The following is a 23,459-nucleotide window of genomic DNA, read 5'->3' as shown; positions in this document are numbered from 1 at the left end:
AAGCGTACGCCACCATGCCTAGTTAATTTTTATATTTTTAGGAGAGACAGAGTTTCACCATATTGGTCAGGCTGGTCTAGAGCTCCTGACCTCAGGTGATCCATCCACCTTGGCTTCCCAAGGTGCTGGGATTATAGGCATGAGCCACCGTGCCTGGTCTGTCTAGGTCTAATTTAGTCCTTCTAATTTAATGATACTTTTTTTGAGGACCCTGTCATAAGCCTTGTGTGTTATGAGATCTCTACTCTGGCTGGTGGGAACATAAAGTGTTCCCTGCCCTTTATGAGCTTCAGAAATTGTTTCGGCTATTGCTGTCCAGTAGCTTTTAACTTTGCCTTAAGTAGTTATTCTTTTTTTTTTTTTTTTTTTTTTTTTTTTTGAGACAAAGTCTCACTCTTTCACCCAGGCTGGAGTGCAGTGGCCCAATCTCTGCTCACTGTGGTCTGCGCCTCCCAGGTTCAAGTGATTCTCCTGCCTCAGCCTCCTGAGTAGCTGGGATTACAGGCACGCGCCACCATGCCCAGCTAATTTTTTGTATTTTTAGTAGAGACGGTTCACCATGTTGGCCAGGATGGTATCGAACTCCTGACCTCAGGTAATCTGCCCGTCTCGGCCTCCCAAAGTGCTGGGATTACAGGTGTGAGCCACTGTACCTGGCCAAGTAGTTATTCTTCCACATGCTTAAGGAGACCCTTCTGCAGATACTTGGAACTTTCTCGTTGTAGCTCCCTCCTCTTTTTGTTTTCTACCTCACAAACTCTAGCTGCCTTGGCTTCCTCAAACTCTCATCTGATTTTTAAGATTATATCAAATCAATGAGACTGCCCAGCTCCACTAGGTTCCTACTTATGGTGTTATAGTCCAGTATGTGCTTCTGGGTAGAAAGCCATCTGTCTTTGTACCCCAGCCTCAGACACCATTGATCACCCTTTTGTCACTATATAGATTAGTTCACGGTTTCTTGAATTTTGTATACGTGGAATCATACAAATATATAATCATTGGTGTCTAGGTTCTTTCACTCAGTATGATGATTTTGAGATTTATCCATTCTGTAGTATTATTAGTGGTTCATTCACTTCTCTTTATTATTGGATAGTATTTTTTCTTTCTTTCTTTCTTTTTTTTTTTTTTGAGTTGGGGTCTTGCTTGTTCTGTCGTCCAGGATGGAGCACAGTGGTGTGACCAAGGCTAACTGCAGCCCTGACGGGCTCAACCAAGCCTCCCACCTTAGTCTCCTGTGTAGCTGGGACTACAGGTGTATGCCACCACACTTGCCTAATTTTTTAAAATTTTTTGTCAAGTCAGGGTCTTGCTGTGTTTCTTAGGATGGTCTTGAACTTTTGACCTCAAGGTCCTCCAGCCATGGCCTCCCACAGTGTTGGGATTACCCGCGTGAGCCACAGCCGGTGTAAATACTATTTCTGTTATATGCCTATGCCATGTTTTGTAGATGCCTCATGTTAAATTTAGATGATGAATTCATCTTAGACTAATTATACTATTTCAGTGCTATGATGAAGGTATTAATATATAGATATCCTAAAATCAAAAAGCTTATTTTTATACTTATATAAAATATAAAAATTTTAAAGCTTATATTTGTCGGTTCATTCACTTTTAATTCCATTTTTTCATTAACTCTAATTTTTTGAAGGGTGTTTTAATCTCACCTTTTTCTTTTAGGTGTTTTTGTGGTCGCTTGGTCAAGCAACATGCTTGTTTTACTGCAAGTCTTGCCATGAAATACTCAGATGTGAAATTGGGTGACCATTTTAATCAGGCAATAGAAGAATGGTCTGTGGAAAAGCATACAGAACAGAGCCCAACGGATGCTTATGGAGTCATAAATTTTCAAGGGGGTTCTCATTCCTACAGAGCTAAGGTATGTCACATATTGGATTTTTCTTCATTTATGTTGTTATTTAAATAATAAACATCACAATTTGTGTAGCAATATTGACAAAAAGTTGGTCTCAGTAATTTATTTGTATATTTTAAAGTACAAAGGTGCATACAAATATAGAATTGTATCTTTCTGGTGGATTGAACCTTTCATCATTATAAAATGTGTTTTGTTTCTTGTCATTTTTCTTGACATGGTTTGCTTTTTCTGCAATCAGTGTAGTTAAGCCATCTTTCTTCCTTTTCGGTTTTAACCTTTTATGTTTAAGAGATGTCTTTTAATTGTTTTTAAAAATGTTGTCTGCTGTGTATTTAAGTTTAAATTTACCATTATGTTATTAGTTATCTATTTGTCTCACTTTTTTCTTTGTTCTGTTTTTTTTCTTGTATTATTTTGGATTAAATATTTTTTATTATTTTCTTACTCCTTTATTAGCATATTATTTATACAGTCATCCTTCAGGGGGCTTGGTTTCAGGACTTCCCTCAGATACCAAAGTCTACAGATTATCAATAGTATTTGGATGTAATCTATGCACACCCTCTTGTATAGTTTAAATCATCTCTAGATTCCTTATAATATCTAATATAGGCCAGGCACAGTGGCTCACGCCTATCATCCCAACACTTTTGAGAGGGTGGAAGGATGGCTTGAGGCTAGGAGTTGGAGACCAGCCTGGGCAAAATAGTGAGACTCTGTCTCTACTTAAAATAAAAATATTAATAAAATGCCCAATACAATGTAAATAGTTGTTAAATTGCACTGTTAAGGAATAATGACAGGTAAATAAAGTCTACACATGTTTAGTATAGGCTCAATGTTTTTTCTTGAATATATTTGATTCACCGTTGGTTGAAACCATAAACGTGGATCCCACAGATACAGAAGGCCTACTATATGTTCTTTTTCTATTCTTTTTTTTTTGAGATGGTGTCTCTGTTGCCCAGGCTGGAGTGCGGTGGCGCAATCTCGGCTCACTGCAACCTCCGGCCTCCTGGGTTCAAGCAGTTCTCCTGCCTCAGCCTCCAGAGTAGCTGGGACTACAAGTGTGTGCCACCATGCCCAGCTAATTTTTTGTATTTTTAGTAGAGACAGGGTTTCATTGTGTTAGCCAGGATGGTCTCCATCTCCTGACCTCATGATCTGCCCGCCTCGGCCTCCTAAAGTGCTGGGATTACAGGCCTGAGCCACTGTGCCCGGCCTGTTTTTCTGTTCTTTAGAAAAAGAATATTATAGGTCAGGCACGGTGGCTCACGCCTGTAATCCCAGCACTTTGGGAATCCAAGGTGGGTGGATCACCTGAGATCAGGAGTTTGAGATCAGCCTGGCCAACATAGTGAAACCCTGTCTCTACTAAAAATACAAAAATTAGTCGGGCGTGGTGGCACGAGCCTGTAGTCCCAGCTACTTGGGAGGCTGAAGCAGGATAATCACCTAAACTTGGGAGGTGAAGGTTGCAGTGAACCGAGATCGCGCCACTGCACTCCAGCCTGGGTGACAGAGCAAGACTGTCTCAAAAAAAGAAAAAGAATACTATAATAAATGTGATAATGTGATAAAATGCATTTTTAACTTGTTATATGCAGTCATGCATCACTTAAGAATGGGGATATGTTCTCAGAGATGTGTTAGGCAATTTCATCATGCTAACACCGTAGAGTGTATTCAGACCTAGATGGTATAGCCTACTATATGCCTAGGCTATATGGTATAGCCTATTGCTTTTAGGCTGTAAACCTCTATGGCATGTTATTGTACTAAATATGGTAGGCAGGTGTAACAGTGTAACACAATGGGAAATATGTGTCTAAATATATATAAACAAGAAAAAGGTACAGAAGTATGGTATTATAATATTAGGGAACCACCTTATGTATGCAGTTCATCATTAATCAAAATGTGTGGCACATGACTGTACTGTAAATTAATCCTTTACCACTTTTTCAACAATGCAGGAACCTTTGGAATATTTGAAACTGCACTTATTTCTCTTAAGACTTATGTGCTCTTGTCAGCATGAATTTTAATTTTCTGTTTTAAACCCCTAAAACAGTTATTATTTATTTAGATTTGAACATTTTAACCTTGGCATGGTAGCTCATGCCTGTAATCTCAGCACTTTTGGAGGCCTAGGCAGGAGGATCACTTGAGTTCAGGAGTTTGAGACCAGCCTGGGCAACATAGTGAGACCTTGTCTGTACTAAAATTCAAAAATATTAGCTGGGCATGCTGATACACGCCTGTAGTCCCAGCTACTTGGGAGCCTGAAGCAGGAGGATCAGTTGAGCCTGAGAAGTTGAGGCTGCAGTGAGCCTTGGACCATGTCACCAAAGTCTAGCCTGGGCAACAGAGCCAGACCTTGCCTGAAAAACAAATAACAACAGCAAAAACCATTTTAACCTCTACATTGTTCTGCCTGCCTCCGTGTTCTGATGAGGAAAACCTTGCCCAACAGTGAGCTCATCATCTCTCCAAGTTTTTCTTTTCTCCTGGATCCCGATCCTACAAATTCTCACTGCCTTTGTACCCTGCTAATGTCTTTTTTTTTTTTTTTTGAGACTCGCTCTGTTGCCCAGGCTGGAGTGCAGTGGCGCGATCTCAGCTCACTGCAACCTCTGCCTCCTGGGTTCAAGCGATTCTCCTGCTTCAGCCTCCCGAGTAGCTGGGATTACAGACAGGGTTTCACCATGTTGGCCAGGCTGGTCTGGAACTCTTGACCTCAAGTGATCCACCTGCCTCCGCCTCCGCCTCCCAAAGTGCTGGGATTACAGGTGTGAGCCACCATGCCCGGCCACCTGCTAATGTATTCAAGCAGGTGTTATTGTTCTTTTTTCTAGTTTTTCTAGTTCCCAGGGGCAGAGTATGTCCAAATCAACCTAGCCCATCATTGTAGGAAGTGGAATTTCTCATTTATCTCTAATATAGTATTAAAAACATTAACTTTAGACTGCTTCTCTAATACTACTTTATGTGCCCAAATATAATAATGAGTTAAACAAAACTGATACAGAAAGACTTATTATAGAACAAATCCGGCTGGGCACGGTGGCTTATGCCTGTAATCCCAGAACTTTGGGAAGCCAAGGCAGATGGATCACCTGAGGTCAGGAGTTCAAGACCAGCCTGACCAACATGGCAAAACCCTGTCTCTACTAAAAATACAAAAAGTAGCTGGGCCTGGTGGTGCGCACCTATAATCCCAGCTACTCTGCTTAGGAGGCTGAGGCAGGAGAATCTCTTGAACCCGGGAGGCATTCCAGCCTGGGCGACAGAGCGGGACTTTGTCAAAAAAAAAAGAACAAATCCTATTTACAAAGCATTCTTGGTCTGGTGTGGTAGCTCATGCCTATAATCCCAGCACTTTGGGAGGCCGAGGCAGGCAGATCACTTGAGCCCGGGAGTTCAAGACCAGCCTGGGCAACATGGTGAAACCTTGTGTCTACCAAAAATACAAAAAAATTAACCATGCTGGGTGCCGTGTGTCTGTAATCCCAGCACTTTGGGAGGCTGAGGTGGGCAGATCACTTGAGCCCAAGAGTTCAAGACCAGCCTGGGCAACATGGTGAAACCTTGTGTCTACAAAAAATATTTAAAAAATTAGCTACGCAGGGTGCCCTGTGTCTGTAGTCCCAGCTGCTTGGGAGGCTGAGGTGGGAGGATGGCTTGAGCCTGGGAGGCAGAGGCTGCAGTGAGCCGTGGTGGCGCCACTGCACTCCAGCCTGGGCAACAGAGCCTGACCGTGTCTAAAAAAAACAAAACAAAACCAAAAACCAAAGTATTCTTAAGGGACTCCAGTCTTCTACTCAGTTTTATGGAATTCTGGGGTTTTTTGGGCTTCATTTCTTTTTTTTTTTTTTTTTTTTTTTTTGAGACGCAGTTTCGCTCTTGTTGCCCAGCCTGGAGTGCAATGGCACAGTCTCAGCTCCCTGGAACCTCTGCCTCCTGGGTTCAAGCAATTCTCTTGCCTCAGCCTCCCAAGTAGCTGGGATTACAAGCACTCACGCCTAGCTAATTTTTTTGTATTTAGTAGAGACGGGGTTTCACCATGTTGGTCAGGCTGGCCTCGAACGCTTGACCTCAGGTGATCCACTTGCCTTGGCCTCCCACAGTGCTGGGATTACAGGCGTGAGCCACTGTGCCTGGCCTTTTGGCTTCATTTGTTTGTCAGTACTGAGATTTTCAGTAGTGTTTGATCTTTGTAAAGGAATGGGAAATACATCATTTTGCAAATAAGGTTTCTTAGAGATGATTTTTAAATGTCTCAATGTCTGAATACTTGAAGTTTCTTATGAGCTACTTCATATATGTGCTTTAGGCCAAGAGAATGAATTAATGTGAGTATAGCAAGTAAGTCTTATGATATCACTTAAACAGGAAGTTAATTTTTAAAATCTTTCAAACCAGAAGAAGTTATTTCACACACGATAGCTTTTTTTTCTATTTTTCTATAGAAAGATGTTTTCAAAAATTAAACTGGAGAATCCATCCGAACACCATGAAATGTTGATTACGATTTTCTGATTATTTCTCAGTCTGATCAAATCCAGTTATTTACAGTGAAGAAAATAATCATCTATATTAAATATATCTTTTTAAATTTTACTCCATAGTCACAATTCATTTATAAATGGACTAGATCATTGCCAAACTTTCATACAAATAATTCAGTATTTGCCTCTCTTCATAGCAAGAGCCTTAGAAGCCTCCATATTTTTCCCCCCTAATTCCTTTTTTTTCCTTTTCCGATCCTCTTCAGCCAGTCTTAATGTTTCTAACTCACTGTGTAGTCATAGTTAAAGAAGGCAATAAATACTGCAGGTACTTGGGTAAATTGGGTCAATGGTAATTGAGTTTAAACAGAAAGAGTAACATTTGTGTCTAAATGTTTAAAAGTTAGTTTCGCTATTTCTGTAGATCTCACAGAATGATTTTTTCAACTTTAAAATCATTTACTATTGCTTATTCCTTGGAGTATAAATATATTGAAAATAGCCTATGAAATCTCTTTTTACATAATCTGATTCATATAAAATTTTCCAAAGTCATATAATGTCACATTATGAAACCTGTGAACATGTTCAATTATTTTCTCCTTTTAAAATCTTTTTCTAGTATGTGAGGCTATCATATGACACCAAACCTGAAGTCATTCTGCAACTTCTGCTTAAAGAATGGCAAATGGAGTTACCCAAACTTGTTATCTCTGTACATGGGGGCATGCAGAAATTTGAGCTTCACCCACGAATCAAGCAGTTGCTTGGAAAAGGTCTTATTAAAGCTGCAGTTACAACTGGAGCCTGGATTTTAACTGGAGGAGTAAACACAGGTAATGTGATGATTATACCAATTTTATTTAGTGTGTTTTAATTTTTTTTTTTGAGACGGACTCTCACTCTGTTGCCAGGCTGGAGTGCAATGGCACAATCTCGGCTCACTGCAACCTCTGCCTCCCGGGCTCAAGCAATTCTCCTGCCTCAGCCTCCAGAGTAGCTGGGATTACAGGCCTGCGCCACCATGCCCGGTTAATTTTTGTATTTTTAGTAGAGACGAGGTTTCACCATATTGGTCAGGCTGGTCTCGAACTGCTGACCTCGTGATCCGCAAAATTATCCTCCCAAAATGCTGGGATTACAGGCATTAGCCACCACGCCCGGCCCTTAAATTTTTTTATAATAGCAATTAGATATTTGAAATACAGATCAACACTGAATATAGATATACTTAACTCTTGATAAATAATCTACAGTTTGTAGGTAAAAATGATAATCGAACCTGTTTGGTTATTATTTTGTCTTTAAAAAAAAAACGCAACACTTTAGAGCAGGATTTGGCAAACTATAGCCTGTGTGCCAAATCCAGCCCAAACCTTGAATAAAGATTTACTGGAACATTCACTTATTTACTGTATTAGTCTGTTTTCATACTGCTATAAAGAACTGCCCGAGACTTGGTAATTTATAAAGGAAAGAGGTTTAATTGACCCACAGTTCAGCATGACTAGGGAGCCTCAGGAAATTTATAATCATGGTGGAAGGTGAAGGGGAAGCAAGGCACCTTCTTACACAAAGTGGCAGGAAGGAGAAGTGCCACGCGAAGAGGGAAGAGCCCCTTATAAAGCCATCAGATCTTGGGAGAACTCAGTCACTATCACCAGAACAGCATTGGGGAAACCGCCCCCATGATTCAGTTACTTCCACCTGGTCTCTCCCGTAAAACCTGGGGATTATAGGGATTACAATTCAAGATCAGATTTGAGTGGGGATGCAAAGCTTAACCATATCAGTTTATATATTGTCTATGGCTATTTTTGTGCTGTAACAGCAGAGGTGAATAGTTGTGACAGAGATGGTATACCCTATAAAGCTTATACTGTTTAGCCTTTTAGAAAAAGGTTTTTGACCCTACTGTAGAGCAAAGCATTATTTCCATCACTTTCCTTCTAGTGGTAAATTGATACAAGAATGGCAATCCATTGCCTCAGCAGCAGTAAGAAGTAGCTTTCAAAAATTAATTTGTAACATACTACTGTCTTTTATTCTATATCTTCCCTATCACATATACAGGTTGAATATAAAGAGGGCAGATTACTTTCATTGTCTAAAATAAAACATTTAAGTCAGCTTGCAAACATCTAATTCATTATCAGCAACTTTTTTTTTTTTTTTTTTGAGACAGAGTCTTGCTGTCACCCAGGCTGGAGTGCAGTGGTGCCATCTCAGCTCACTGCAACCTCCACCTCCCGGGTTCAAGTGATTCTCATGTGTCAGCCTCCCAAGTAGCTGGGATTACAGGTGCCCGTCACCACACGTGGCTAAGTTTTGTATTTTTACTAGAGATGGGGTTTCACTATGTTGGTCAAGCTGGTCTTGAACTTCTGACCTCAGGTGATCCGCCCGCCTAGGCCTCCCAAAGTACTGGGGTTACAGGTGTGAGCCACTGCACCTGGCCAGCAGCTATTTTTTGAACCTCATTGTGTCAGAAGTTTTTGAGGCTGCTAAGAATTTATTCCATAAACAGTAAAAATATCTACCTTCATGGAACTTCTAGTGGGGGAGATAAAGATAAGAAACAGATAACTCAGTAATGTATAACGTGTTAGATGCTGATAAGTGTTATGCAGACACATGAAGTCAAGAAGAGGGATAGTGAGGGATGATGGAAGGGCTGCTATTTTGTTACATGGTCAAGGAGAGCTGATAAGGTGACAGTTGAGGAGAAATGGAAATGAGGAAGCAAGGTACAAGAAAAACATAAGGCAAAGCATGTAAAGGGGAGGAGATGGCTCGTGTGTTGGAAGAATAGTAAGAACAGTCTAATATAGCTTGAGTGGAATAAGCAGAGAGTGCTAGGTGATGAAGTCAGAAGTTCTGGTGTATGGTGGTAGAGAAGCATGGTGACTAGTAGAGGCAGTAGGCAGTTCATCGCATGAGGCCTTGGGGACCGTTATAAGCATTTTGGCTTCTGCTCTGAATGAGAAGAGGAGGTTTTAAGTAGAGAGTCAACAGCTGCAAAGATCACTCGGATGATGTTTTCAAAATGGAGTATAATGGCAAGGCAGCAGTTGAAAGACCTACGAAGATGCTATTTTCATAATTTGGGTGAGGGATGAGATGTGATGCATTATGGAGATCAAACTGAGTGATGCATTAGTTTGCCGGGGCTGCTGTAACCAAATATCACAGACTGGGTGGCTTAAAAACAGAAATTTATTTTCTCATGGTTTCCGAGATTAAAAGTCTAAGAGTAAGTGTCAGCAGATTTGGTTTATCTTGGGGCCTCTCTCTTTGGCTTGCACATGGTCATCTTCACACTGTGTCCTCCCTCTCATGGCCTCCTGTGTATAGGTATCCTTGGTGTTTCCTTTTGTATTCAGATTTCTTTATAAGAGCACCAGTTAGATTCAGGGCCACTCCAGAGGCCTTATTTTAAATTAATCGTCACATATTTAAAGGCCCTGCCTCCAAGTACAGTAATGTTTTAAGGTATTATCACATATATAAAGGCCCTGTCTCCAACTGCAGTCATATTTTATGGTATTGGGAGTTAGGGGACACAATTCAGCCCATAAGAAGTAATAATGGGCCAGGCATGGTGGTTCATGCCTATAATCCCAGCACTTTGGGAGGCTGAGGTGGGAGGATCACTTGAGCCCAGGAGTTCAAAACTAGCCTGGGCAACATGGTAAGACACTTTCTAAAAAAAAAAAAAAAAAGAAAAAAAAATTACCCCGGCATGGTGGTATGTGCCTACCCTCCTAGCTACTTGGGAGGCTGAGGTGGGAGGATCACTTGAGCCCGGGAGGTCAAGGCTGCAGTGAGCTAAGCCATGATCACACCACTGCACTCCAGCCTGGGCAATAGAGTGAGACCCTGACTCCCTCCCTCAAAAAAAAGAAGTGATAATGAGGAGTTATATGCTCTTTGGAACTGCCTTTTATACTTTTCTCTCTCATTTTTGACTGAAATAGACTTTTGTCATTGTTTATTGTGTGTGTGTGTGTTTTGCGTATGGTCCTGTGCCACCGATTAATTTTTTCTAAATGATGTGTAGAGCAATAATAAAAAACTACAGTTACTTAGAGGAGAAATGCAAAAACGGACTAGACCAAATAACATGGTAAAATTTAGTGTTATATGTGTTTTCTGGCATTTGTAGTGATTTGATATTGTGGGGTTTAGTGGTTTTTGTTCCTTTTTGGTCCTTGTGTATTCTTCTGTAGGTTTGGCTATGACCTTGTTTTAAGTTTGTTATGACCTTGTTGCCTTATATCTTGAAGGTGTGGAGAAATATATCACATATTATAGTGTTACAGATTTAGCACAGGATTGTTCTGAACACAGTAATGACTGTAATCCCAGAACTTTGGGAGGCTGAGGCATGAGCCCAAGAGTTCAAGACCCACCTGTCTCTACTGAAAAAAAAAAAAAAAAAATTAGCCGGCTGTCTTAGCACGCACCTGTAGTCCCACCTACTGGGGAGGCTCACAAGGGAGGATCGCTTGAGTCCAGGAGTTTGAGGCTGCAGTGAGCTGTCATTGCGCCACTGCTCTCTTTCCTGGGTGACCCTGTCTTTAAGAAAATAAAAAAAACAAAATGAATAAACTTTTTTTATGAACAGGTGTGGCAAAACATGTTGGAGATGCCCTCAAAGAACATGCTTCCAGATCATCTCGAAAGATTTGCACTATCGGAATAGCTCCATGGGGAGTGATTGAAAACAGAAATGATCTTGTTGGGAGAGATGTAAGAATTATTTTTAAAATTTCTTATGTTTGAAATTATATGTAAACAAAATTATAGTAAGAATAGTGCCAGTTTAAAATATTTATGATTATATTATACTTTTCAAATTAAGTTTAAAAGGTATTTTCCTGAGGTTTACTTCTGAATTTTTGGAAATGCATAAATATAAATAATTCATAACTATAAATAATTAAGTTCATAAATATAAATGCTGTTACAGTGTTGGCACATTTTGCTTTCAGTCTTTTATGTGTAAAATTATTTCACATTTTCCATATAAGCTAGTCTTTGTAATTAAATTTTTAATGACTACATGACATGAGAATTAATTTTATTCTCACTAAGACTAGGGAATAGGAGTTAAATGCTAGTGTTTTGTTTGAATAGGTTAAAGACATGTGAATTGGTTATAGATATTTATCAACACTGTTAAAAAGAATTACTGGCTGGGCGCAGTGGCTCACACCTGTAATCCCAGCACTTTGGAGGCTGAGGCGGGCTGATCACTGGAGATCAGGAGTTCACGACCAGCCTGGCCAACATGGTGAAACCCCGTCTCTACTAAAAATACAAAAATTAACTGGGTGTAGTGGCCTGTGCCTCCTAGCTACTTGGGAGGCTGAGGCGGGAGAATTGCTTGAAACTGGAAGGCAGAGGTTGCAGTGAGCTGAAATTGAGCCACTGCATTCCAGCCTAGGTGACAAAGCAAAACTCCATCTCATACATACATACATACATACATACATACAATTACTGAATTATAATGATCACTTTCAAGTGTTATTAAATTTCTAATGTCAGTTTTTGAGTCTACTCATGGCTGGAAAAATAGCAATATTACATTTTATTGTTTTTTACAGTGTCTTTTTTTTTTGAAATGGAGTTTCACTCTTGTCGCCCAGGCTGGAGTGCAGTAGCACGATCTGGTCTCACTGCAACCTCCTCCTCCCAGGTTCAAGTGATTCTCCTGCCTCAGCCTCCTGAATAGCTAGGATTACAGGCACCCACCACTACACCCATCTAATTTTTTTTTTTTTTTTTTTTTTTTTTTTTTTTTTTTTTTTTGAGACGGAGTCTCGCTCTGTCGCCCAGGCTGGAGTGCAGTGGCGCGATCTCGGCTCACTGCAAGCTCCGCCTCCCGGGTTCACGCCATTCTCCTGCCTCAGCCTCCCGAGTAGCTGGGACTACAGGCGCCCGCTACCACGCCCGGCTAATTTTTTGTATTTTTAGTAGAGACGGGGTTTCACCGTGTTAGCCAGGATGGTCTCGATCTCCTGACCTCATGATCCGCCCGCCTCGGCCTCCCAAAGTGCTGGGATTACAGGCGTGAGCCACCGCGCCCGGCCTCCCATCTAATTTTTGTAGTTTTAGTAGAGATGGGGTTTCACCATGTTGGCCAGGCTGGTCTTGAACTCCTGACCTCAGGTAATCCACTCGCCTCGGCCTCCCAAAGTGACGGGATCACATGCATGAGCCACTGTGCCTGGCCACAATATCTTTTATATATTGTAGTTTAGTCACTTAATAATCTGATAATAGTTTATTTGCACTATTTAGTTATTTATTGCTTCTCTCTTTGCATGTGATGATGAAATATATAATTCTGCAGTATGGGTCAAGATATAATCATGTGTTTCAACCCATTAATGATTAATCCTCAGCTGCTTAAAAGCTTACGCTTTTTGAAACATTCTTTGTCATTTGGTATTTATTTCTGTATGTAAAATAGAATTTTACTTCTTACTTGTCTTTACGGATTATTTCAAAATTTATTTTACATCATACTGTATTTAATCCTGCTCACTAACTCTTTTGTTTGCTATTGTTTAGGTGGTTGCTCCTTATCAAACCTTATTGAACCCCCTGAGCAAATTGAATGTTTTGAATAATCTGCATTCCCATTTCATATTGGTGGATGATGGCACTGTTGGAAAGTATGGGGCGGAAGTCAGACTGAGAAGAGAACTTGAAAAAACTATTAATCAGCAAAGAATTCATGCTAGTAAGTGAATTCACAAATTTGTTATTGTTGAAATTGTCCTGGGCTGTACTAATAGCCAAATTCAAAGAAAGTAGAATGTTCTTTGAAGTGCTCTTTCTTACATAGCAAGATAACATATGAAACAACCAACAGTGGTTGATCTTAGACAAAATGATAAGACCAAGGAAAAGAAGTGAAAATTGGGTACTCAGTTATCAAGGCTAAAACCAAAAAAGGTTCATTGGAAGCTCTGTTGTTATTGCAATTCCATTTCAGCCCAAGGAATTCATAAATATTCTTTTTTTTTTTTTTTCTTTGAGGCGGAGTCTCGCTCTGTCACCCAGGCTGGAGTGCAGTGGCATGATCTCGGCTCACTGCAAGCCCTGCCTCCTGGGTTCACACCATTCTTCTGCCTCAGCCTCCTGAGTAGCTAGGACTACAGGTGCCCGCTACCATGCCCAGCTAATTTGTATTTTTAGTAGAGACAGGGTTTCACCATGTTAGCCAGGATGATCTCAATTTCCTGACTTCATGATCTGCCCGTCTCGGCCTCCCAAAGAGCTGGGATTACAGGCGTGAGCCACTGCGCCTGACCCATAAATATTCTTAATGTGTGATTTATTCTAATACATGGCTGTGAAATTCAAGATTGAAAACTAAAAGGGAAAAAAATCACTGAAAGAAATAAATCAGCTTAAAATTTATGAAATGAGTATCACTGTTTGGCTAAATGTGTCTTAAAAATTGTATTCCTGGGACTGATTTTTCTTTCCAACCATGTCTGAATTTTCTGGTTCAACATCTAAATTTTTATTTCAAATAAAGGAAAATTTGTAACCTAAGGACCCCAGGAAGTTGAGCTCTGTGGTAAAGTGAAATAGAAATAAAAAAACTACAGAACAGTGTTTACAGATTATGGTGGAGTCAGAACTTTTGCTAAAAGTTAAGAATGGGCTGGGCGTGCTGGCTCATGCCTATAATCGCAGCACTTTGGGAGGCCGAGGTGGGTGGATCACCTGAGGTCAGGAATTCTAGACCAGACTGACCAGTATGGTGAAACCCTGTCTCTCCTAAAAATACAAAAATTAGCCGAGCGTGGTGGCGTGTGCTTGTAGTCCCAGCTTCTTGGGAGGCTGAGACAGGAGAATTGTTTGAGCCCAGGAGGCGGAGGCTGCAGTGAGGTGAGCCAAGATCGCGTCACTGCATTTCAGCCTGGTTGACAGAGCAAGACTCCATTGCAAAAAAAAAAAAAAAGTTAAGAATTGTTTATAGTCCTACAGATACCTTTTTTTTTTCCATTTTCTCTGTGCACCGCAAGTTATTGTAAAAGCAAAAATTCATATTCTTCACTAATTTTATCTGTTGTTGCTCTTCTAGAGGTCTTGGAATTTTATTGATCAGTTCCAGTTATGTAATTCTGTCATCAATTTCTTCTTTAATTTTTAATTTTTTTTTTCTTTTTTTGAGATGGAGTCTCGCACTGTCGCCCTGGCTGTTGTGCAGTGGCCCGATCTCACCTCGCTGCAACCTCTGCCTCCTGGGTTCAAGCGATTCTCATCCCTCAGCCTCCCGAGTAGCTAGGATTACAGGCACTCGCCACCACGCCCCAGCTAATTTTTTGTATTTTTGGTAGATAGGAGGTTTCACTATGTTGGCCAGGCTGCTTTTGATCTCCTGACCTCGTGATCGCCGGCCTCGGCCTCCTGAAGTACTGCAATTACAGGCATGAGCCACCATACCCAGCCGTCCTCTTTTTTTTTTTTTTTTTTTTTTTTTTTGGGAGATGGAGTCTTGCTCTGTTGCTCAGGCTGGAGTGCAGTGGCACGATCTCAGCTCACTGCAACTTTCGCCTCCCGGGTTCAAGTAATTCTCCTGCCTCAGCCTCCCGAGTAGCTGGGACTGCAGGCGCATGCCACCATGCCCGGCTACTTTTTTGTATTTTTAGTAGAGACGGGGTTTCACCATGTTAGCCAGGAAGGTCTCGATCTCCTGACCTCGTGATCTGCCCGACTTGGCCTCTCAAAGTGCTGGGATTACAGGCGTGAGCCATTTCTTTTTTCTTTTTTACAAACCTTTCAGGTGGCATTTGAGACAGTCTTTTTTTTTTTTTTTTTTTTTTTTTTTATGTGAGGGAGTCTCGCTCTGTCACCAGGCTGGAGTGCAGTGGCATGATCTTGGCTCACTGCAACCTCTGCCTCCTGGGTTCAGGTGATTCTCCTGCCTCAGCCCTCCTGAGTAGCTGGGACTACAGGTGCTTGCCACCACACCTGGTTAATTTTTTGTATTTTCAGTAGAGACAGGGTTTCACTGTGTTAGCCAGGATGGTCTTGATCTCCTGACCTTGTGATCCGTCCATCTTGGTCTCCGAAAGTGCTGGGATTACAGGCATGAGCCACCACGCCCGGCCAAGACTGTCATTAATTTCTATTTTAATGTCTCATTTGGAATCAGAAATATATATTTTAAAAATGAATAAAAATCAATGTTAGAAGTTCAACTAATGTATTGTAAAGCAAACTAAAAAATTACTGTTTACATTTCACGTCAAGAGCTCAGTAAAATATGGAAAACAAATTTTTACTTTTAAGTAGTGAATATATAAATTATTTGCTGTCTATTATATATTGGATTTTCTAATTTTGTCATTTAGAGAACAGCTTTTAAGATAGTGACAAAGTATTCATTATTTAATTTACTTACGTGAACTGGTATCAGGTGGAGTGCTTAAAGTCAAGTCAACATAGTCTTAGAAATTATGTTTTTACTTTTTAATTTTTTTTCAGTAAAATCTAAAATTAGAGTACTGAATTTTGCCTAATTTTTTTTTCTTGGAGAGAAACTTGCTTGGGATGAAATAATTTTTTAATTTAACTTTGCTCTTTTTAGGGATTGGCCAGGGTGTCCCTGTGGTGGCACTTATATTTGAGGGTGGGCCAAATGTTATCCTCACAGTTCTTGAATACCTTCAGGAAAGCCCCCCTGTTCCAGTAGTTGTGTGTGAAGGAACAGGCAGAGCTGCAGATCTGCTAGCGTATATTCATAAACAAACAGAAGAAGGAGGGTAAGTGTATGACAACATTTTAATTAATTTTATTTATTTATTTATTTATTTATTTTTGATACGGAGTCTTGCTGTGTCTCCCAGCCTGGATAGCGTGCAGTGGTGCAATCTTGGCTTACTACAACCTCCACCTCCCAGGTTCAAGCGATTTTCCTGCCTCAGCCTCCCAATTAGCTGGGATTACATGCATGAGCCACCACGTCTGGCTAATTTTTGTATCTTTTTAGTAGAGATGGGGTTTCACTGTGTTGGGCAGGCTAGTCTTGAACTCCTGACCTCAAGTGATCCACCTGCCTCAGCCTCCCAAAGTGCTGGGATTACAGGCATGAGCCACCATGCCTGGCCCATTTTAATGAATTTATTAAAGTGGCTTGTGGTTTTTAGAATACAGTGTTGGATTCCTCCCTGTGTTTTATGAACATGAAAATGTTAAGTTTAATACAATACTTTGTTAAGGGTTGAGGAAATAGCCTGACTCATATGTTATTGGAACAAATTAAAATAAAACCATCTTCATGGAACACAGTTTTGTAAGATGTGTCAAACGTAGAGGCACTTATCTTTTAACGTAGTAGTTTCATTTCTGGGAATTGTTCCTACAGATGTATATCTGTGAAATAATATATGTTTAAAGCTACTCATTACGGGGTTCTTTATAAAAGATTGGAACAAAGTAGAACATGAGAAGACTAGATAAGTTATGGTGTATTTATACAAAGAAATGGTTTATAGCTGAGTAAGAATGGTTTTGAGAAGATTACCAAAATATGTACATGCAAAAAGGAAGGTGTAGAGAAGCATATATATTGTGCCACTTTTTATATAGAATAAAAGGAGAGGGGATAATTATTTGTATATGCAGAAAGACATCTTGGAAAGTTATATATAAGTAAATGATTCCTAAAAATAGTTGTGATAGAACTGGGCAGATGAAAGAGAGCGGGAAGGAGACTTTCACTATTAATTTTAATGTTTTAACATTTTATGTTTTCTACTATTTTTGAGCCATGAAAATGTATTAAGTATTCAAAAAAGAAAAATGTGAGTTCCTATGTTTAAGAACATCGTGGTGAAATACTAGTTTATACATCATAAGATCTTCAAATTATTTTTATACAATATCTTATGTAAGTACTGATATTGCCACACACATACTTTTTGATAAAATTCACAAAGTAATTCAAAGAGAAAAATCACTCCGTTTCATTTATTTTCCTTCTAACATTTGTGTTGGGAGTCTCATGTAGGAAGAAATAATCCCACCCAAGGTGAAGTATGTAATATTAATCCATTATTTTCAAAGGTCTTACATGGATCTACCTGTACTTCATATTGATCCTACAAATAATGGAAGATGAAATCAGTGAATTATGTTTCCTTTTATTCCAGGAATCTTCCTGATGCAGCAGAGCCCGATATTATTTCCACTATCAAAAAAACATTTAACTTTGGCCAGAATGAAGCACTTCATTTATTTCAAACACTGATGGAGTGCATGAAAAGAAAGGAGCTTGTAAGTAGATTTCAGCAGAAATTTAAAAAGCTGATAGGCCATTTTTCTTTCATTCAAAACACATTCTAAACTGGTGAAATACTTTTGTTTTTATTTGGATTTTAAACTTTGAAATCTTTATTAACCATAAAAATATGTCATTTATTGGTCTGTTCAAGTTGAGAGGTATCATAGAAGGAGGCCTGTAGTTTTTTATATGGTATTGAGACTGTATTTGTGCTTCTGTTTTAGGAAAAGTTTTAGGAAAAGTAACTAGGTCTCAACAGATAATGTTCAGTACCAAGGAAGAACTATAAAGAGTTGTTAATGGTTTCTCTAATAAAATGTTTGGAAAAAAATTTTTAATGTGCTTAAGCCTATTAAATTAAAGATCAGTGCTGCTTTGTTTCAATCATGTAAATGTGGGCATAAGTTTTCAGAGATAAAATTTTTAGCAAGCCTATAAATACATAACATGATTTGATTTGCTGTCTTTTTCATTGCAAGTTTTTGTAAACTATGAAATAAAGTTGGCCAAAAATTTTGTATAATAATGTTTCACGTTCTTTTCTTTATTTTTATTTATTTTTTTTTTTGGAGACAGAGTCTCGCTCCATTGCTCAAGCTGGAGTGCCGTGGTGCAATCTCAGCTCACTGCAACCTCTGTCTCCCGGGTGCAAGCGATTCTCCCACCTCAGCCTCCCGACTACAGGCATACGCCACCATGCCTGGCTAATTTTTGTATTTTGACTAGAGGCGGTGTTTCACTGTGTTGGCCAGGCTGGTCTCGAACTCCTAACCTCACGTGATCCGCCCACCTTGGCCTCCCAAATTGCTGGGATTACAAGCATGAGCCATGGGCCTGGCCATCTTTCACTTTATGAAAAATGTTATTAAATTACAATTTCTGAAATGGTGCTATGTTTCAAGTGATTTAAAGATATTTGCAATAAAAATATTGACCAAAACAAACATTTATCTTTCAAGAATATATACATTATGTGAACATGTAAATGTTCATTCTGTGGAAGGACCTGTAGGATTTATTTACCCTGATAAGGAATCTATAGCCTCAGCCCCTAAATTTCTTACTCTAGTAAGGGACATAAGATAGGTCAAAATATGAATGTAATATGAAACCAAATATTTTTAGTATATTTGCCATTTTATTTAGTAAATGATAAAGTTTTTAAAATTTTTTGGTTTTTTGGTTGAAATAAAGTTACTAACTATATACATAAATATATTATGTGTATGTATGTTTATATATACATAATACATAGATTCCTAGATACATACATATATATTTTGCCCCCCATATAGTTTGAAATTACTGAGTTTTATGATGCCTTTGTTTTAAAAATATAAAGGCATAATGTTATAAATTTATCTTTAAATAGATCACTGTTTTCCATATTGGGTCAGATGAACATCAAGATATAGATGTAGCAATACTTACTGCACTGCTAAAAGGTAAGCCTCTAAGAACTTTTTTATTTGTAAGACCTTTTATTTTATGTATGTATATGTGTGTGTATGTGTGTATATGTGTATGTATATAAAATATAAAACCTTTTACCATGGCTAAATGCTTGCAAAGTGAATTTTCAGTCATTTTTCTTTGTGAAAGACACAATGTTGGTTTCCTTGGCGGCAAGGTAACTTTTAATTTAATCTTGTAGAATTTAAAAAATAAAAGTTTTTAGCAAGGTTTATGCCACCAAACCTATTTAATAGTCCTATTAAGAACGTCTAACATCCTGGGCCAGGCATGGTGGCTCACACCTGTAATCCCAACACTTTGGGAGCCAAAGCAGGAGGATCACTTGAGGCCAGGAGTTCAAGACCAGCCTGGACAAGATAGACCCATCTCTACAAAAAGTTTAAAAATTACCTGGGCATGGTGGCATTTACCTGTAGTCCCAGCTACTTGGGAGGCTGAGGTGGAATCACCTGATCCTGGAAAGTTGAGGCTGCAGTGAGCTGTGATCATGCCGCTGTATTCCAGTTTGGGCAACAGAGCAAGACCCTATCTCACAACAAAGAAAAATTAGCTGGGCATGGTGGTGTGCACTCTGTAGTCCCAGCTGTTCAGGAGGCTGAGGCGGGAGGATTGCTTGAGCCCAGGGTTTGAGGTTACAGTGAGCCATTATCACACTGCTACACTCCAGCCTGGGTGACAGCAAGACCCTGTCTCCAAATAAAAATGTGTCACTTTCTTAATCAGCTGAAAAATAAGTGTTTAAAGGTTATAAGGCATTAGTTGATAGAATATAAAGATAGGATTTTAAAACATGTCATCTTCATTATGAAGGGAAAATTTGAAAACTAGTGGTATCTTTTAGGACTAAGGGATTGAAGCACACACACACTGATCCTCTTATTGTCTCCCCAAAGACATCCAACAGATATAACAACATTATAGCGAAAAATCTTCTCAGAAATTAGAAACTATGACGGTATCCCATCTGTCTACCTGAAAGTTAGTGTAGAGTGATGTGCCAGGAGCCCAGCACATTAAGAGGATACTGTCCTTTTATTTACAAGAATTTTCTTGCATATTAGACCATAATAAATTGCCAATACATCAAGCATTTTTAAAATACTGTGATAAAATATATTTATATCATCTGGAATCATGGTATCAAGAGATCACAAGTGATAGGAAACCTAGAAACCAAAAAGGAAAAAAAATTAATAAATGGGAGTGCATAAAAATAAAAAGTAAGGCTGCGTGCGCTGGCTCACACCTGTAATCCCAGCAATTTGGGAGGCTAAGGCGGGTGGATCACTTGAGGTCAGGAGTTCAAGATCAGCCTGGCCAACATGGCGAAACCTCGTCTCTACTAACAATACAAAAATTAGCTGGGGGTGGTGGTGGATGCCTGTAGTCCCGGCTACTCTGGAGGCTGAGGCACAAGAATTGCTTGAACCCGGAAGGCAGAGGTTGCAGTGAGCCAGGATCACACCACTGCACTACAGCCTGGGTGACAGAGTGAAACTGTCTCCAAAAAAAAAAAAAAAAAAAAAGGTTAAAAAGAGAGTACCATATTCATGAATTATTTACCATGTACTTTTCTGTGTATTAACCACTGTGTTCAAGTGGTTTACATTATTTATCTCATTTTATTCCTACAAGTCAGATTTCCTATGGCTTTACTCATTTTATAGATGAGGAAACTAAGGAATAGAAATGTTAAAGTAGAGGGATCAAAAAGAGCTGTTAAAAATTAATAAGAAAAAGATGACTACCTCTTAGAAAAATGGGTCAGAACTTATGTAATAGATAATTAGTAGAGGAATCCAAATGCTTAGAGAAAATATGGAAGGATGGCCAATGTTACAGTAATAAATTTTGGGAGGCTGAGGCAAGCAGATTGCTTGAGCCCAGGAGTTTGAGATCAGTCTGGGCAATTTGGCAAAACCCTATCTCTACAAAAAATACAAAACTTAGCCTGGTGTGGTGCCATACACCAGTGGTCCCAGCTACTTGAGAGGCTGAGGTGGGAGGATCAGTTGAGCCCAGGAGGCAGAGGTTGCAGTGAACCAAGACCACGCCACTGCACTCCAGCCTGGACAACAGGGAGAGACTCGGTCTCAGAAAAGAGAAGAAGAAGGAAACTCCCCTCTCCATGGCACATGGAGAAATGGTTATGGTTATACCCCTCCCATGGTGGATGGTAGAAGCAATCTGAAGTATTTTGGAGTATATCAAAAACCTTAAAGTATATATCCTTGTACCTAGCAATTTGACTTCTAGAATATCATCCTATTTGAATAATCAAGCATGTGCATGAAAACATACTCAGCAAAAAATTCAAAATAACCTGAATATCTACCATTTGAAGTATTTGTTAAATAAATTGTGGTTTACCTAAGTATATATAAGGGAGATTTATGTATAATTTTAAGAAGAACCAAGGTACGATATCAAGGTACATAAAGCAAGCTACTGAACACTTTTGTAGTATGAACCCATTTTTGAATAAAAAATGGAAAGTATATGCATGAGCTTGTATGTGCACAGAAAGGTGCCTGGCAGGCTATTTTCAGAATCCTAATAGCGCTATCTCTGTGATAGAAACAGTTCATCTTTGTTTTCTTCTCATTTTTCTGCATTTCTAAATGTTTGCAATGAATGGGAATATGTCGTTTATAGCTGGAAAGGTAAAGTTCTTAACCCTGGGGCTAATCTTATCTCTGAGGCAGGCTACTTCTGAATGGTGGCTGACACCAGCTGTGTAAGTTAACTAAAGAATGGTGGGGAGATGTCATAAGTGTTCGTGCTGGGCACTGTGGCTCACACTTGTAATCCTAGCACACTGGGAGGCCGAAGTGGCAGGATCACTTGAGGCCGGGAGTTTGAGACCAGCCTGGTCAGCAGAGTGAGACTGTCTCTACAAAAAAGTTAAAAAATTAGCTGGGTGTGGTGGTGCTCATCTGTAGTCTCGGCTACTTGGAGGCTAAGGCGGGAGGTACACTTGAACCCAGGAATTCAAGGCTGCAGTGAGCCATGATCACCTTTGCACTTTAGCCTGAGCAACAGACCAAGACCCCATCTCTTAAAAAAAAAAAAAGTGTTCACCTTTTAATGGAGATAAATTAATTGAACCTGTCAACTATTTTCTTTATTCGATTAGGTACTAATGCATCTGCATTTGACCAGCTTATCCTTACATTGGCATGGGATAGAGTTGACATTGCCAAAAATCATGTATTTGTTTATGGACAGCAGTGGCTGGTATGTAAATAATCTACATACACAATACAATTAAATTACACTAAGTAATAAAAAAGTATTTGCGGGAACTGTGACCTGACTTGACATTTTACCTTTCTGCCAATAGTTCAAAAATAGTTTAGCTAAGTATTTCTACACCATTCCGATCCAGTTTAGGATTTAATGTATGCCTCTAGATAAAACCTTATTTTTTTGTAGAGTATATAGATCTCTAAGAATCTTAGAACTGAAAGAAGCTTTAAAACTCATGCTCTGTATACCAGAGAGTCCATTCTAGCATTCCCCCTGATGTTTAGACCTATTCCTTTTTTAGTCTTCCTCATCCTACTAAATGGGAACAACTTCTTCCTAGTTTCTAAGATGAGACTCTTTAGTGTTATCCTTTACTTTTCTCTTTCTCATGTATTCCAATCCAATTCCATCTGTAAATCTTGTCAGATCTAGTTTCAAAATACCTAATTTTATCATCCTGGTCTAGTCTGTCATCCTTCTTTTGTGTTATTTCGGTAGCATACTTTTTGGTTTCACTACTCTCATACTTGCTCTCCTTTTATGGACAGGAGATGAATCACATTCCATTTATTCAGAGCATAACCCAGAGCCTTACATGCTACTACTATCCTCTTTGCTCTTTTTTATCTAACCTTGTTGACGTTCTTGCTCTTCTTTGAACATATCAAGCATGCTCCTATCTCTAGGCTTTGTACTTGCCTGTCTCTCTATCTTAACATTTTTCCCTACATACCCACGTGGGCTTAATTCCTCCTATCTTTCTGGCCTCTAACCAAATGTCTCCTCTTTGGACTTCCTCTGTCTACCCTATTTTAATAGCATCCCCCTAAACCAGCATTCTTCCCTGCTATTTTTTTCTAACTTTTGTCACCATCTGACAAACCATATAATGTAGCTATTATTTATTGTTTGTCTTTCTCCTAGAAAGTAAACTTTCTGAGGGCAAGAATATTTTTCAGTTTTGTTTACTACTGTATTGACAGCTTGGTAGGTAGTAATCACTTAAAGTTTTGTTACATGTCCG

At 39.4% G+C, this 23,459-nt stretch overlaps 2 protein-coding genes across 6 annotated transcripts in view; both read left to right on the top strand.

Annotated features, from left to right (window-relative positions):
• LOC128092252 (uncharacterized) overlaps positions 1-1,770 on the top strand; it is a 37,916-nt gene extending 36,146 nt beyond the window's left edge. The window contains exon 4 of the mRNA NM_001414947.1: positions 1,687-1,770. Coding sequence (NP_001401876.1) covers positions 1,687-1,770 — 84 coding nt within the window. The remainder of the gene's footprint in view (positions 1-1,686) is intronic.
• TRPM7 (transient receptor potential cation channel subfamily M member 7) overlaps positions 1-23,459 on the top strand; it is a 129,640-nt gene that overhangs the window by 36,226 nt on the left and 69,955 nt on the right. For all 5 annotated transcript variants that reach the window (NR_149154.2, NR_149152.2, NR_149153.2 and 2 more), the window contains exons 4-11: positions 1,687-1,885; positions 7,019-7,232; positions 11,024-11,148; positions 12,979-13,150; positions 16,016-16,190; positions 17,580-17,703; positions 19,083-19,155; positions 22,323-22,423. Coding sequence is in view for 2 of the 5 variants with exons in the window: in NM_001301212.2 (NP_001288141.1) it covers positions 1,687-1,885; positions 7,019-7,232; positions 11,024-11,148; positions 12,979-13,150; positions 16,016-16,190; positions 17,580-17,703; positions 19,083-19,155; positions 22,323-22,423 (1,183 nt within the window). In the remaining 3 variants the exon portion in view is untranslated. The remainder of the gene's footprint in view (positions 1-1,686; positions 1,886-7,018; positions 7,233-11,023; positions 11,149-12,978; positions 13,151-16,015; positions 16,191-17,579; positions 17,704-19,082; positions 19,156-22,322; positions 22,424-23,459) is intronic.

The sequence above is a fragment of the Homo sapiens genome, chromosome 15 (genome assembly GCF_000001405.40).
Source record: "Homo sapiens chromosome 15, GRCh38.p14 Primary Assembly".
Taxonomy (NCBI): domain Eukaryota; kingdom Metazoa; phylum Chordata; class Mammalia; order Primates; family Hominidae; genus Homo; species Homo sapiens.
This window is presented reverse-complemented; position numbering and strand designations above follow the sequence as displayed.